Genomic DNA, 17,337 nt, shown 5'->3' with positions numbered 1-17,337 from the left:
ATCTAACATTTGATTTCTGATTTTAAAGGAGATAAATGCTAAGAAACATTGGACAATAAAAGGGTATAAAAAGAAGATTAAATCACTGATAATTTCACCACCCATGGATTAACATTTTTATGTTGAAAACGTTTTCAGTAGACAAATGGAATAAATAGATAGATGCATAGACTATATGTAGATAGAAATAAAGGTAAATGTCTTAATATCTCTTACATTTATTTATAAAATTGGCATAAACTTGTCATCTGCAAATTCATTATTGTTGCATCTTTTATTGAAAATTACTTGCTTAAGCTTTAGCCTATATTAAATATTCTTCAAAAGTATAATGCAATTGATGGATAACATTCAATAACATATGGACAACATAAACTACTGAACAATCTCTCCTATTATTTTATACATTGGTTCCTTTTTTTATTCCTTAACACAATTCTATAATGCCTATTCTCTACCTAAGTTACTACACCTCTGTTTTTAACTCAAAATGAATTTTTGAGAGGTTTAGTTCTAAGACAGAAGGTAGAACATATTTTTGTTCTCTTTGCAAAGAGTCCCCAGATGATTTCCAGGCTTGCAGCAAAATGTAATCTTCCATCAGCAGTGAAAAGTTCTGATCTTGCTCTATCTTCTATTGAAATGAGTATTACTGTTAATTATTTTTTTGGCAGAAACTAGTATTTCATTGCATTAAATTAAGTAACTGGATTAGTATTAAAGCAAAATATTTTTTAAATGCTAATTTTCACATCTATTTTTTGATTTATTACTGTTTTAGGTTTAGGACACTTTTATATTATTTAAAATTTATTTGTCATTTTATTATACAATTTGTAGCTTAGTTTTAAATCTCTTAATGTATTTGTATCCATTCTGAGGTCTGAATTTTATTTATTTATTTATTTTGAGGCAGAGTCTCACTCTGTTGGCAAGCTGGAGTGCAGTGGCGCAATCTCTGCTCACTGCAACCTTCACTTCCTGGGTCCAAGCGATTCTCCTGACTCTGCCTCCCGAGTAGCTGGGACTACAGGCATGCAACATTATGCGCAGCTAATTTTTGTGTTTTTAGTAGAGACGGGGTTTCATCATGTTGGCCAGGAAGATCTTTACTGCTTGACCTCGTGATCCACCCGCCTTGGCCTCCCAAAGTGCTGAGATTACAGGCATGAGCTACCAGGTCCGGCTGAGGTCTCAATTTTTTTTAATTTTATTTATTATTTTTGAGATAGAGACTCACTCTGTCACCCAGGCTGGAGTACAGTTGTGCAATCATGGCTCACTGCAACCTCACCCTTCTGGGCTCCAACAATCCTCCTACCTCAGCCTCCCAAGTAGCTGGGATTACGGATGTGTACCACCATGCCTGGCTAATTGCTTGTATTTTTTTGTAGAGATGAGGTTTCCCCATGTTGCCCAGGCTGGTTTTGAACTCCTCAACTCAATCTATTTGGCTGCCTTGGTCTCCCAAAGTTCTGGGATTACAGATGTGAGCCACCACGCCGGGTCTAATATTTTTTAAGTGTGCACTTAAATATATGAGTCTATTCACCTCTAATTTTCTTTCCTCATTGAGTTACATTTTGTTTATATTGGTTGTGGTGTTTTAAGGTTATTATTTTTCAAATTTAACTTATTTAATTGGAATAAATATAGCTTTATTGGTTTATGATATAAAATAACTATCTGACTTTTTTCAGCTAATTTTCTAAGAACTATATTTAAAAATATTTTGCCATTAATTTGTAATATTCCCTTTTAAATAAATTTAATTTTTATGTATCAAAATAATCTATGTCCCCTGTGGATTTTTCCCGGCTGGAGAGAGCATAGATATTCTGTGGCTTTCTCTTCAACGATAGATCAGGGAGCCGTGTTGTGATGATAAAGGTAGTGTTAATAAATATGGGCATGTACAAGGGGCTCAGTGTGCATTGCATTACCCAATTATTTCCATCTTGGGTAAGTGAAAAACTAAAACCCCTTGAGCTTCTGCAGACTTTTTGTATTATCTTAATAAGCATAAATGGTGTTTTTGTTGTTGTTGTTGTTGATGTTGTTTTTGCAGTGGAGGGAATCACAGTAAAGAGACATGATATTACAATTACGTCTCTGGATATAGTCTTTTAAAACCAAATAAAGCTAAAGAAGGTTAAAATTATTTTGCATAATAAGTTTTTTTTAATTTAAGGTATATGATATTTCTACAGGTTATTTTCTTTAGGAAAATAATCATTCTTTATTAATGTGGATTTAGACATCAGTGAATCTAAGCATAATTGTATTTCCTTAGAGGATGTATGTGAATGTGTGCGTGTGTGCATGTATGTGTGTCTGGCAATTAATAAAAAAGAACCTGAAGTTTTAAGAAGGAGGTTATGTAGTTTCACCTCAAATAGGAAAAGGAGGTCTAAATCTGGCGGGGTTGAGGGGCATAACCCAATCTGAATAAAGGATTTTGCTGAAATTAATCTCGCCTATCAACACACCAGTCAGGAAATAGGGTTATTCCCAGATCAAATGTTGCAATTTTAAGAAATGTGTTGTTGAAGATTTCTGAAAAATGTTGAAGATTCTTTTTTCTCAATTTTGACATTTTTTGTTGAAGTATACCATATATACAGAAAAGTACACAAATCCTAAATGCATAGATGGTTCACTTTCGTACACTTTTAACCAACGCTGCCATAAGGGACAGAACATCAGTAGCACCCCAGAAAACTCTATTGTGCACCCATCCATTCATTTCTACCCAAGAGTACCCTTTATGATTTTTAATACTATAGACAAGTTTTGCCTGTTTTAAAAGTGTACTTAAATTTTAGAATCAACTTTTCATTTACATACACATCACAAACACACACACACATCTCACACACACACAAGCACACCTTTCCAGGATTTTGATTGGGATTGAACTAAAGCTATCTATCGACACTTTAGGAAAGGACTGAAATTTTTACAATTTTGAGTCTTTCAAACTGTAAACATGAACATAATCATTCTCTTAACAAGGGGTTAGGAAATCTAGAGAGACAAAAGCAGCAGAAGTACGAAAGAAAACTCATTAGTTTAAATAATCAATGTTCTTTCTATTACATTAGTAAAAATAGAAACTGGTCAGTGAATTTAAGAAAATACAGGATAAAAATGAAGAAAGAACAAAGTATTTGTATTATTGTGACAAGTGGAAAAAAATGAGCCAAAACATAGTAGAGATAATGAAAAGGAGTAGAAAGACTAGTTGAGAGGAAAAGACTAGTTGACAAACAAGGGACCTCTGTAAACTCCATTCTTATTTACCCAAATAATGAGGCTTTCTCTCATATCAATGACAACAACGTGTTAAAATTGACTTTAAAATGATGTAATCATTAAATCACCAGAATTAGAACAAAATATGGTGCAACTGATTTCACTAGATGAAAGGTCTAGACAGAATCTTTGGATGATTTTATTGAATATATAAAGGATTAAATATTTGGGGATGACATTTGGTTAAAAGCAGAAAGTATATTGATCTGTGAGCTCAGGACTTTCTTTAGTATGGCAGAGCACTTGTGCATTTCATTGATGTGGTCAGAGCCAGAATGAATGAATTGAACATTCGAGCAATAAACAGTTTTTCTCAAGTTGGTACTCATTTAAAAGTTTGATTCATAAGAAGTCTGTAAAATGCTGAACTTTCTTATTTACCTGGTGTGACAGGTTTGGTAAATAGGCCTAGCTTATTAACAATGGTGACAAAGTAACACTGTGATTGTTCCCCCAGGCAGGTATAATCACAAAGGCTTTTCTGTTGGGAAACCTAGCTTTACTCTAACTAATGTAATTGTGTTCTAGTTTATTCTGCAAATGTGAATGATGGAATGAAGGATGAGGAAAGTTTGATAGAAATTTTAGACCCAAACCAGACCCTAAGAAGAGATTTTTTTTTTTCCCTAGAAGGGCTGGATATATACACTGTGGGTCTTTTAATCAGGTTCTATGTTTCTTAAATCATAAAAGGGACACACTTCAAGTCAGGTGCAATTTTGGAATGGGCTGAGCATGTGATGAGCTCATTTCAACAGGTTTACTGTTTTTCTTCTTCTAACTTCAACATTGTTTTTCCGATTTCTAGACATAACTTCCTTTACTTTTTCTCCAAATAATCTATAATGTTTGGTAAATATAATTTATTTCCTTGAGTTCAACTGAGGCCAATTTAGAGACAAGGCTGTGAAAGAAAGGGTGGTTTTCCTCTGGTGTTCTGTGTTAAACTGCAATTTTACAGCTGCAAAGGAACTAGAGATAATTTTCTGCTGTAGAACTTCGAATAAGATGAGATAAGGAATTTAAGACAAAGGGCCAGACTTTAAATCTGCAGATTGTACTCAGGATTTGAGGAATTACTGGTCAAATGTCTTATTGATTATTATAAGTGACAAGATACTATAAGCTTGTTTGCAGAATATTCCATACTGAAATAATAGATGGAGCTCTCTGAAGGACTTTTATTTTAGCTTCAAAGCTGATTAAAACCAACATTAATTGTATTTATGGTACTGGAATGGAATCACTTCAACAGACTGACTTCATTTTCTTCTTATGTCAATAACTAAATTTTTCATTGCCTAGATTTATACCAATTCTAAAAGAAAACTAGAACACTCATCATTTATAATAAAACATTTATAATAAATAATTTACCACTCAAACAAATACAGTTGGATATTTCTTTGTATGGATGAATTAAGCTTTAATTATTCATCCAATTGAATCTTGGGTTATAAATCCTTAAATCCCTCATTCTAATGATTTTTGAACTTCCGTATATGACTTCAAAAAATGATAGAAAACTAGGTGCATTTTTATTACTTTAATTTTAAGCTCTCTCATTTGGTACCCAACATTTACAATAGTATTCTATTTTTTCAAAAGACTTTTAAGATTTATTTTTGTTTTGTTATTACATCACCGGGGTAGTTGATCTGAGCTCAATACTCCCACTAGTTCTGAGATGAAAACCGTACTTGAATCAGTTTTGTAAGTTCCGAAGGAAATAAAGATTGAGTATGTTACAATTTAAACGCTCTAAAGCCTAAAATGACCCAAAATATTAGGAAAACATTTTTCATTTCCTAGTAGTTGTTTGAGTGGGTACGTAAACATTTTAGACATTTTATTTTTATTTTTTTAATCACAAAATATTTATTGCAAATTGTAAAATATTATAAATTATTTAAATTTTAGAAATAAGGTAAAAAGTGAGTGGCATGACTTTTAAATATCTCACTGAGTAATGGTTTAAATCACCCAAGAAATATTTAGTTTTTAGGACAATTTACCTTTGTTTGATTTTACTATTTGCTATTAACTAACAGCTTATATTACTAAAATAACATGTTAACTTGTAGACCTTTGTAATAGGGATGCAGATAATCACTTTTATGTAGAAAATGTAGCCCCAAAGATCAAAATTTTATAGCCCTGTGGGTTATTAAAGTGTTTTGTTCCTAACTCAGTCCATGCTTTTTGGAATGCTTTCTCAAGTAGACTATAAATACTTTGTTCCCCAAAATGTTCTTTGGACAGATGCAATAATTTGTGTAAGTTTGACATATATTTAATCACATTTTAAAGTGTTTGAAAATTGTGATTTGACAGTTTTGGAGAGCCACCAAAAGTTCCGTGGACTCACCTGCCCAGAATCAATTAAATTTTCTTCACTGAGAAGTGCACCTTATGGGCTATTTAAGCCCAGGCAAATCTTTTCATGGCCTCTGAAATGATTCTCAAGCTACACAATAGCACTTTATTTTTGCTGACTTTCTATTTGCCTACAGTTGTTTTCTTTCTTCTAATATTCGTGTTTTAATTTTTTAATCAAGTATATTATTATATTGGTGTGTTGCAGCCATATCCCTTTCCATAACACAGACCAGGGACCTGTGTTTCTCTATATGTTATGTTGGAGTACTAGGCTCTCACATGCATGACAGAGAGAGCACCCTGTGCATATGTGAAGCTGATTTACTAGATGATCATTTATTTCATGTTGGTGGGAGCAGAGATTGTAATCTAGTTTATGTGACCATTTGGTGTTCTCAGTCAGGTGGATGATAGAATTTATACTTTGTTGGATAAGAGATCGCAAATAATCAAGTTTTTAGTCTATGTTATTTTAGCCTGTGATATTTGCCACGCATTAGAAAGGGGAACTGCTTCTTGAGATTTGAACCTGTGATTTTTCTGTGTTTCTGTCTACTTGACTTTGGTTTAACTCTCTAAGATCTCTATAGGTCTGTGATCTATAAATAGAATGGATTTTATGTCTTATTTTATGAGTGTAAAATTTTTTTACTTTCAGAAGGTATGAATGAACTATATTACAGTTTCACTTAAGAAAACTCGATTCTAATTGGTTTATAGAGTTATACAAGAATATACATATCAAATATGCCCACTATTTCCAGAAATTAAACTAAGTTTCTGGTACTTTATTTTTCCTGATCCAGTATTTCTCAAAAATGTGGTTTATGCCAACTAGAGGTTCCTTTTATGTGTGTCTGTGAGGTCAAAACTATTTTCATAGTAATAAGAACTGATGCGATTTTTCTCACCCTCATTTTTTATGGGCATACAGCAGATTTGCCTAGAGGATGCATGACACATGATGACAGTATTTCTTAGACAACTAACGGAAGGTGTTCTCATGTTTTCTAGGATTTTCTAAGGTAATAGATTTTGTATATGAATGTGTACATATTCAGAGATTAACTCAGTGTGTTTTCAGTAGTATCTTTATGCTCTTGCTAGCTATTTTGCATTCATCTCTATGACCTCACTATTGTCCATTTTTATTTGGCAGAATGACAAATAGCAAACTATGGTTATTCAGATGAATATGTAGCAAATATTTTCTTTAAATGAATAAATGAGTCTATAAAATCAAGGAAAGACTGGCAGTGTTTTTTTGCCATAGATAGAATTTAAACTTTCAAGTGAAAAATATAATTTTGATAAACATGTACATGATCCTAAGTGCTTCCCAATAGAAAAAGACTTTCCTGATGCCATCACTGGTGATATTAGCCAATAGGATTTTAAATATTTTATCATGAATTATGTTTACATTTGGAAGAGTTATACAATTTCATGAATTAGTATATTTGAATTGACTACTGAAAGATTTTATTAACAGCATGCATCTACAAAAGATACATTCTAAAGATAGAATACATCAATGAATTTTAAAGAAACAGAAAAGTTTACTGATATACTTTCATATTCCACATTGCAAATAGCTTTTAAAAAATAATACATCATGCTTTGGTTGTAGTTTTGAGGAAGAAAATCTACAATGATATAAAAAGGCTATTGAAATACACTTTGTTTTCCCCATTACATATCTATTGAGAGTACGTATTCTACATAAACTTCACAATCAACAATTTGAGTGCAAAAGCAGGCATTTTATTATGGAAGATAATGAGATATATAAAAATATTAAAATGATACAATTTTTCCACAGTTGTTTTATTTTGAAAAACAATTATTTTTAATAAAATATATACATGTTATAGATTTCGTATTGCTTTATAAATTGAATTAATAAATCTTAAAAATTATAATTTAAAAATGCCTAATACAATAAATGTTTCTTTTTTATTTTATTTTATTTTATTTTATTTTTCAGTAACTTCTTTTTTTTTAATTTATTTATTTATTATTATACTTTAAGTTTTAGGGTACATGTGCACATTCTGCAGGTTAGTTACATATGTATATATGTGCCATGCTGGTGCGCTGCACCCACTAACTTGTCATCTAGCATTAGGTATATCTCCCAATGCTTTGCCTCCCCCCTCCCCCCACCCCACCACAGTCCCCAGAGTGTGATATTCCCCTTCCTGTGTCCACGTGATCTCATTGTTCAATTCCCACCTATGAGTGAGAATATGCGGTGTTTGGTTTTTTGTACTTATGATAGTTTACTGAGAATGATGACTTCCAATTTCATCCATGTCCCTACAAAGGACATGAACTCATCATTTTTTATGGCTGCATAGTATTCCATGGTGTATATGTGCCACATTTTCTTAATCCAGTCTATCATTGTTGGACATTTGGGTTGGTTCCAAGTCTTTGCTATTGTGAATAATGCCGCAATAAACATGCGTGTGCATGTGTCTTTATAGCAGCATGATTTATAGTCCATTGGGTATATACCCAGTAATGGGATGGCTGGGTCAAATGGTATTTCTAGTTCTAGATCCCTGAGGAATTGCCACACTGACTTCCACAAGGGTTGAACTAGTTTACAGTCCCACCAACAGTGTAAAAGTGTTCCTATTTCTCCACATCCTCTCCAGCACCTGTTGTTTCCTGACTTTTTAATGATCGCCATTCTAACTGGTGTGAGATGGCATCTCATTGTGGTTTTGATTTGCATTTCTCTGATGGCCAGTGATGATGAGCATTTTTTCATGTGTTTTTTGGCTGCATAAATGTCTTCCTTTGAGAAGTGTCTGTTCATGTCCTTCGCCCACTTATTGATGGGGTTGTTTGTTTTTTTCTTGTAAATTTGTTGGAGTTCATTGTAGATTCTGGATATTAGCCCTTTGTCAGATGAGTAGATTGCAAAAATTTTCTCCCATTTTGTAGGTTGCCTGTTCACTCTGATGGTAGTTTCTTTTGCTGTGCAGAAGCTCTTTAGTTTAATTTGATCCCATTTGTCAATTTTGGCTTTTGTTGCCATTGCTTTTGGTGTTTTAGACATGAAGTCCTTGCCCATGCCTATGTCCTGAATGGTAATGCCTAGGTTTTCTTCTAGGGTTTTTATGGTTTTAGGTCTAACATTGAAGTCTTTAATCCATCTTGAATTGATTTTTGTATAAGGTGTAAGGAAGGGATCCACTTTCAGCTTTCTACATATGGCTAGTCAGTTTTCCCAGCACCATTTATTAAATAGGGAATCCTTTCCCCATTGCTTGTTTTTCTCAGGTTTGTCAAAGATCAGATGGTTGTAGATATGCGGCGTTATTTCTGAGGGCTCTGTTCTGTTCCATTGATCTATATCTCTGTTTTGGTACCAGTACCATGCTGTTTTGGTTACTGTAGCCTTGTAGTCAGGTAGCGTGATGCCTCCAGCTTTGTTCTTTTGGCTTAGGATTGACTTGGCGATGCGGGCTCTTTTTTGGTTCCACATGAACTTTAAAGTAGTTTTTTCCAATTCTGTAAAGAAAGTCATTGGTAGCTTGATGAGGATGGCATTGAATCTGTAAATTACCTTGGGCAGTATGGCCATTTTCATGATATTGATTCTTCCTACCCATGAGAATGGAATGTTCTTCCATTTGTCTGTATCCTCTTTTATTTCATTGAGCAGTGGTTTCTAGTTCTCCTTGAAGAGGTCCTTCACATCCCTTGTAAGTTGGATTCCTAGGTATTTTATTCTCTTTGAAGCAATTGTGAATGGGAGTTCACTCATGATTTGGCTCTCTGTTTGTCTGTTGTTGGTGTATAAGAATGCTTGTGATTTTTGTACATTGATTTTGTATCCTGAGACTTTGCTGAAGTTGCTTATCAGCTTAAGGAGATTTTGGGCTGAGACAATGGGGTTTTCTAGATATACAATCATGTCGTCTGCAAACAGGGACAATTTGACTTCCTCTTTTCCCAATTGAATACCCTTGATTTCCTTCTCCTGCCTAATTGCCCTGGCCAGAACTTCCAACACTATGTTGAATAGGAGTGGTGAGAGAGGGCATCCCTGTCTTGTGCCAGTTTTCAAAGGGAATGCTTCCAGTTTTTGCCCATTCAGTATGATATTGACTGTGGGTTTGTCATAGATAGCTCTCATTTTGAGATACGTCCCATCAATACCTTATTGAGAGTTTTTAGCATGAAGCGTTGTTGAATTTTGTCAAAGGCCTTTTCTGCATCTATTGAGATAATCATGTGGTTTTTGTCTTTGGCTCTGTTTATATGCTGGATTACATTTATTGATTTGCATATATTGAACCAGCCTTGCATCCCAGGGATGAAGCCCACTTGATCATGGTGGATAAGCTTTTTGATGTGCTGCTGGATTTGGCTTGCCAGTATTTTATTGAGGATTTTTGCATCAATGTTCATCAAGGATATTGGTCTAAAATTCTCTTTTTTGGTTGTGTCTCTGCCCGGCTTTGGTATCAGGATGATGCTGGCCTCATAAAATGAGTTAGGGAGGATTCCCTCTTTTTCTATTGATTGGAATAGTTTCAGAAGGAATGGTACCAGTTCCTCCTTGTACCTCTGGTAGAATTCGGCTGTGAATCCATCTGGTCCTGGACCCTTTTTGTTGGTAAACTATTGATTATTACCACAATTTCAGATCCTGTTATTGGTCTATTCAGAGATTCAACTTCTTCCTGGTTTAGTCTTGGGAGAGTGTATGTGTCGAGGAATTTATCCATTTCTTCTAGATTTTCTAGTTTATTTGTGTAGAGGTGTTTGTAGTATTCTCTGATGGTAGTTTGTATTTCTGTGGGATCGGTGGTGATATCCCCTTTATCATTTTTTATTGCGTCTATTTGATTCTTCTCTCTTTTTTTCTTTATTAGTCTTGCTAGTGGTCTATCAATTTTGTTGATCCTTTCAAAAAACCAGCTTCTGGATTCATTAATTTTTTGAAGGGTTTTTTTGTGTCTGCATTTCCTTCAGTTCTTCTCTGATTTTAGTTATTTCTTGCCTTCTGCTAGCTTTTGAATGTGTTTGCTCTTGCTTTTCTAGTTCTTTTAATTGTGATGTTAGGGTGTCAATTTTGGATCTTTCCTGCTTTCTCTTGTGGGCATTTAGTGCTATAAATTTCCCTCTACACACTGCTTTGAATGCGTCCCAGAGATTCTGGTATGTTGTGTCTTTGTTCTCGTTGGTTTCAAAGAACATCTTTATTTCTGCCTTCATTTCGTTATGTATTCAGGAGCAGGTTGTTCAGTTTCCATGTAGTTGAGCGGTTTTGAGTGAGATTCTTAATCCTGAGTTCTAGTTTGATTCCACTGTGGTCTGAGAGATAGTTTGTTGTAATCTCTGTTCTTTTACATTTGCTGAGGAGTGCTTTACTTCCAAGTATGTGGTCAATTTTGGAAAAGGGGTGGTGTGGTGCTGAAAACAATGTATATTCTGTTGATTTGGGGTGGAGAGTTCTGTAGATGTCTATTAGGTCTGCTTGGTGCAGAGCTGAGTTCAATTGCTGGGTATCCTTTTTGACTTTCTGTCTCATTGATCTGTCTAATGTTGACAGTGGGGTGTTAAAGTCTCCCATGATTAATGTGTGGGAGTCTAAGTCTCTTTGTAGGCCACTAAGCACTTGCTTTATGAATCTGGGTTCTCCTGTATTGGGTGCATATATATTTAGGATAGTTAGCTCTTCTTGTTGAATTGATCCCTTTACCATTATGTAATGGCCTTCTTTGTCTCTTTTGATCTTTGTTGGTTTAAAGTCTGTTTTATCAGAGACTAGGATTGCAACCCCTGCCTTTTTTTGTTTTCCATTTGGTTGGTAGATCTTCCTCCATCCTTTTATTTTGAGCCTATGTGTGTCTCTGCACGTGAGATGGGTTTCCTGAATACAGCGCAATGGTGGGTCTTGAGTCTTTATCCAATTTGCCAGTCTGTGTCTTTTAATTGGAGCATTTAGTCCATTTACATTTAAAGTTAATATTGTTATGTGTGAATTTGATCCTATCATTATGATGTTAGCTGGTTATTTTGCTCGTTAGTTGATGCAGTTTCTTCCTCGTCTCGATGGTCTTTATGTTTTGGCATGATTTTGCAGTGGCTGGTACCAGTTGTTCCTTTCCATGTTTAGCGCTTCCTTCAGGAGCTCTTTTAGGGCAGGCCTGGTGGTGACAAAATCTCTCAGCATTTGCTTGTCTGTAAAGTATTTTATTTCTCCTTCACTTATGAAGCTTAGTTTGCCTGGATATGAAATTCTGGGTTGAAAATTCTTTTCTTTAAGAATGTTGAATATTGGCCCCCACTGTCTTCTGGCTTGTAGAGTTTCTGCCGAGAGATCCGTGGTTAGTCTGATGGTCTTCCCTTTGAGGGTAACCCGACCTTTCTCTCTGGCTGCCCTTAACATTTTTTCCTTCATTTCAACTTTGGTGAATCTGACAATTATGTGTCTTGGAGTTGCTCTTCTCAAGGAGTATCTTTGTGGCGTTCTCTGTATTTCCTGAATCTGAATGTTGGCCTGCCTTGCTAGATTGGGGAATTTCTCCTGGATAATATACTGCAGAGTGTTTTCCAACTTGGTTCCATTCTCCCCTGTCACTTTCAGGTACACCAATCAGACATAGATTTGGTCTTTTCACATAGTCCCATATTTCTTGGAGGCTTTGCTCATTTCTTTTTATTCTTTTTTCTCTAAACTTCACTTCTCGCGTCATTTCATTCATTTCATCTTCCATTGCTGATACCCTTTCTTCCAGTTGATCGCGTCGGCTCCTGTGGCTTCTGCATTCTTCACATAGTTCTCGAGCCTTGGTTTTCAGCTCCATCAGCTCCTTAAGCACTTCTCTGTATTGGTTATTCTAGTTATACATTCTTCTAAATTTTTTTCAAAGTTTTCAACTTCTTTGCCTTTGGTTTGAATGTCCTCCCGTAGCTCAGAGTAATTTGATCTTCTGAAGCCTTCTTCTCTCAGCTTGTCAAAGTCATTCTCCATCCAGCTTTGTTCTGTTGCTGGTGAGGAACTGCGTTCCTTTGGAGGAGGAGAGGCACTCTGCTTTTTAGAGTTTCCAGTTTTTCTCTTCTGTTTTTTCCCCGTCTTTGTGGTTTTATCTTCTTTTGGTCTTTGATGATGGTGATGTACAGATGGGTTTTTGGTGTGGATGTCCTTTCTGTTTGTTAGTTTTCCTTCTAACAGACAGGACCCTCAGCTGCAGGTCTGTTGGAATACCCTGCCGTGTGAGGTGTCAGTGTGCCCCTGCTGGGGGGTGCCTCCCAGTTAGGCTGCTCAGGGGTCAGGGGTCAGGGAGCCACTTGAGGAGGCAGTCTGCCTGTTCTCAGATCTCTAGCTGCATGCTGGGAGAACCACTGCTCTCTTCAAAGCTGTCAGACAGGGACATTTAAGTCTGCAGAGGTTACTGCTGTCTTTTTGTTTGTCTGTGCCCTGCCCCCAGAGGTGGAGCCTACAGAGGCAGGCAGGTCTCCTTGAGCTGTGGTGGGCTCCACCCAGTTAGAGCTTCCAGGCTGCTTTGTTTACCTAAGCAAGCCTGGGCAATGGCGGGCGCCCCTCCCCCAGCCTCGCTGCTGCGTTGCAGTTTGATCTCAGACTGCTGTGCTAGTAATCAGCAAGACTCCATGGGCGTAGGACCCTCCCAGCCATGTGCGGGATATAATCTCGTGGTGCGCCATTTTTTAAGCCGGTGGGAAAAGCGCAGTATTCGGGTGGGAGTGACCCGATTTTCCAGGTGCGTCTGTCACGCCTTTCTTTGACTCGGAAAGGGAACTCCCTGACCCCTTGCGCTTCCCAGGTGAGGCAATGCCTGGCCCTGCTTCAGCTCGCACATGGTGCGCGCACCCACTTACCTGCACCCACTGTCTGGCACTCCCTAGTGAGATGAACCCAGTACCTCAGCTGGAAATGCAGAAGTCACCCGTCTTCTGCGTCGCTCACGCTGGGAGCTGTAGACCAGAGCTGTTCCTATTCAGCCATCTTGGCTCCTCCCCTACCATAAATGTTTCGAGGTAACCCCCCACCATAAAAACTCTTCGGAATGTTCACAAAATTTTAATAGTGTAAAGAGCTCTTGAGACTTAAGTTTGAGAATCGTTGCTGTGTTAATCTTTACAGAAAGAGAGAGAGAGAGTCTCATAAACTGCTAGGTCAGAAACCTTTTCATATAAGGTTGCAATTTTTTATTATTAATGATAATCCTTGGACAAATTAGACTAGTATGGTAATTCAAGTTGAAAACAGAAGAAAGGAATTCACTGAAGCTGAAAAGCACTATGGGAGAAATTAGTGAAGAAACTTTCATTGCTTGATTAGCTTCATGATGGAGAATGTAACAACACAGGCTTTTACAATATCAAATCTGAGATTTTTAAAATAAGATTTTGAAACAGAAGTTAGTTTTTTGCTTTGTACTGTGCTCAATACTGTATCCTCAAGGAGGTTTATATGGTTAATTAATAATTCTTGTAACAGCTATATAAATAAGTAAGCCAAAGCATGTTGGGGCTATTGATTTTGTGATCAAGGATAAACTTTGAAGGTTATTTATTATCAAATTGGTAGGGTCATTAAGAAAAATTATTTATAGCTTGAAAATAATGCGAAAGTGTTCCCAGTATATTCTTTGAAATTTATACTGAAAACTCCACAGTAGATTATTAAATGATCTATATAAGTATACCTGTTTGATGTTACTATTAAATAAAAGCTCTTACACTCATAAATTACATGTTATTGTATAGATTATATTCAAGAAAATTGCAAATAATTTCTATCTAGTACAAAATGCACATGAGTTTGAGTTTTTTCTCATCTAGGTAACTTTCCAGCAACCTTTATGCAAAAGGCTGTTATTTCCCCTTCATGCTGTAGTGATACATTCAAGGGTCCATACATATGTCATTTTGTCGACTTCAACCTCTTAATTCAAAAATGAGGCAACTGATGCCCAGAAGTATGAATTTACCAAAAACAAAAAGTCTACGACTAATATTTTAAGAATATATTGAGTCTATTTATAATGCCTTGGAACTATTTCTAAAGGTCAAAAATATCAAAATGTGGGCATGAGAAGAAGGAGATTCCAGGAAAAGAGGACAGTAATAACAAATGTTTGAAGATAAAATATTACAGGAGCACATCTATGAGAAAATGGAATCATTCAGCTTGAATAGAATAAATGTAACATAAAAAAAGTAGAGAGAATTGGCATAGGTTGAAGAGATCCTGAAAAGCCTTGAATACAAAGCTAAAGAATACTCACTGTACCTGGTAGTTTATTTTTGAAAACTTACAGGGAGGAGAATATAGCATTCGATTATTTGTCTTAGCCTCAGATATAGGGGACTATTTTTAATTTCAAATTAAGAGTCAGGAAATGGAAGAAGAACTTTTTAAATAATAATTATATTTTATAAATTTTAAAAGTTTTTATTGTCTGTCACAGATCAGAGGGATACTAAGGAGGTAAGGGGCAGAATAGAAAAGTACTTGCTGATATGGAGAAATAGAGCTTGTTTTCTATTAATAGGCAATGGAGGGGGTAATGCAGCAATCAAAGAATGAACAAATTCAAAAGCAAGTTAATATCTGTTCAAGACGAGTGCAGTCACAGGATGATATGCAAGAAAGTGGCTTAGGAGGTATTGAGTATTCAAAGAGGACCTTGCAGTCCTGTGAGACACAGTAAAGCTAAGGTCTGAATAACATGAAAGAGCTGCCATGAAGTGATCCGGAGGCAGAACATTATTCCAGGAACAGGAAAGGTCTAATATAAAGACCACAGTATAGAAACAGGCTTGCTATTTTCAAGGCCCAGAATGAAGGACAATAAAGCTAGAATATAAGGAACAAGTGAGATAGTGGTATAACATGGGGCCAGATTTTACAAAGCCTTGTAGGCAAGGCTTAGGGATTTGGGTTTTGTTCTAAGTCCTATAGGATGCGATTGGAGATTATCAGTTAGTATCCTCAAATGTATGTTTTATAAAGGTCACTCTCAGTGCTGTTTTAGGATTGGCTTGTGGAGTAGTAAAGATAAAAGGAGAGTCTACTTAACTGTGCTGTTTTCAAAGTGTCCTTTCGAGGTTAAGTCAGTAGAACTTGAATGTGTATTGGATATGATAAGTGATTTAAAAAAAATAATCAAGAAAAATTAACACAGTTTTCACTTAAGGAACTAGGTTGATTGGTATTTGCTCTTTATTTTTATTTTTAAGATGAGAAAGACTAGGGGTGAATGTTTTAACGAAAATGTTAGTTACTTCTTGTACATGAAGCTTGAGATACATATAATGCATTAAAGAGAAGTTTTCAAGTAGCTTGAAGCTCAGATAAGTCTTGGCACGATGTGAATTTGGAAGTTGTTGGCATATAGATGATATTTCAGTCCATGAGCATGGATGATATTGCTGAAATTAAACATTATTTTCATCAGTCCATTCCTGCATTTCCTCACCTCATCGTCAGTATTTCTCCATAGTTAATGTACCTATCATTCACTAATATTCAACTCAGTTCATCTAGGTGCCTAATCGTTAATTACCACTGAATTTAATAAAATTGCTAGGGGACAGCTACAAAATAAGTTCAGTTAAAAGGTATTTGCTGAAATCTCTGAGCTGTAATAAACATTACATGCTTACTGGTGTACTAATAAAAGTCTAGTTTTATTAAAATAATTTAATTTACTTTCCCAGAAAGAGTTTAATAAGCATTTGGATTAAATTGTTAGCTTAAAATACTCAATAAAATCAAGGCTGCAATAGGAAATGTAGTTGTGACTCCCAGGAGTGAAAGTGAATAGTAATCAGTGATTAGGAAGAAAAGAGAAAATGTATGCAGAAGACAATCCCTGGTGTTGCATGAACAGCCCCCGTGAGGTCAGGAGTCAGTATTCTAAAAAATCAAGATTTATAGCACTTTAGTGTTGGTGTCATTTTCCTTCTCTTACTTTGCTCCAGATGCAGAGGTGAAATGAATGGAAAGCAAGTAAATGGTACTGGTGATTTTCTTCTTATTCTTTTGGGGGAAAAAATTTGTAAATGCCATTACTCCAATTCCGTATTGAACTAAATTTTAACTGATACTGTATGGGTTTTTACAGACAACTGTTCTATTAGTGAATGAGATATTCTGACACTGAAGATTTAGCACAATTAAGACACCTTAACGTGGACAATTGAAATATGGAGCTTTTGAATGAATTTGTCAAATTATACATGCAGCTTGTTACAAGTAACATAGGCTGTGTACAGATGTGTAAGGTTGCATTTGACTTCTTACCATTCTTGAAACCTTCTGGAGATGGGCATTCACAGAAATACTTAAGGTATTTTTGTTATGTATGACTGAGAACAGAAGGATTTTAAAGAGAGGAACAAGTTAACTGCAGGACTGGGTGGAACATACTAGGAGTTGCTGAATAAATGCTGTTTATGTTTGCAAGACTCTAAGTCATGTGAGAATCATTTAGTGCCTTCTGTATGTTAATTGTTGTATTAGTTGCTATGCTTTCTTTCACATAATCAATTCAACAACCTTTTGATAGGTAATATCATTGCGTTCATTTTAGAGATAAAAATATGAGATCACAAAATCACACAATTAATAAAAAATTGAGCTTGAAC

General features: G+C 35.6%; 1 long non-coding RNA gene across 2 annotated transcripts in view, besides 1 other annotated feature; it reads left to right on the top strand.

Annotated features, from left to right (window-relative positions):
* Positions 1-17,337, top strand: part of LOC105376637 (uncharacterized) — a 292,809-nt gene that overhangs the window by 102,861 nt on the left and 172,611 nt on the right. The gene's annotated exons all lie outside the window — the stretch shown is intronic.
* Positions 12,808-13,407: an enhancer, noted in NCBI's record as "NANOG-H3K4me1 hESC enhancer chr11:39868501-39869100 (GRCh37/hg19 assembly coordinates)". NCBI's record gives its function as "activates a minimal SCP1, AML or CMV promoter by ChIP-STARR-seq in naive H9 embryonic stem cells {active_cell/tissue: H9 hESC(naive)}" and the evidence as "EXISTENCE:reporter gene assay evidence [ECO:0000049][PMID:30033119]".

The sequence above is a fragment of the Homo sapiens genome, chromosome 11 (assembly GCF_000001405.40).
Source record: "Homo sapiens chromosome 11, GRCh38.p14 Primary Assembly".
In the NCBI taxonomy this organism is placed as follows: Eukaryota; Metazoa; Chordata; class Mammalia; order Primates; family Hominidae; genus Homo; species Homo sapiens.
Note: the sequence above shows the minus strand (reverse complement) of the source record. Positions and strands in the feature narration are given on the sequence as shown.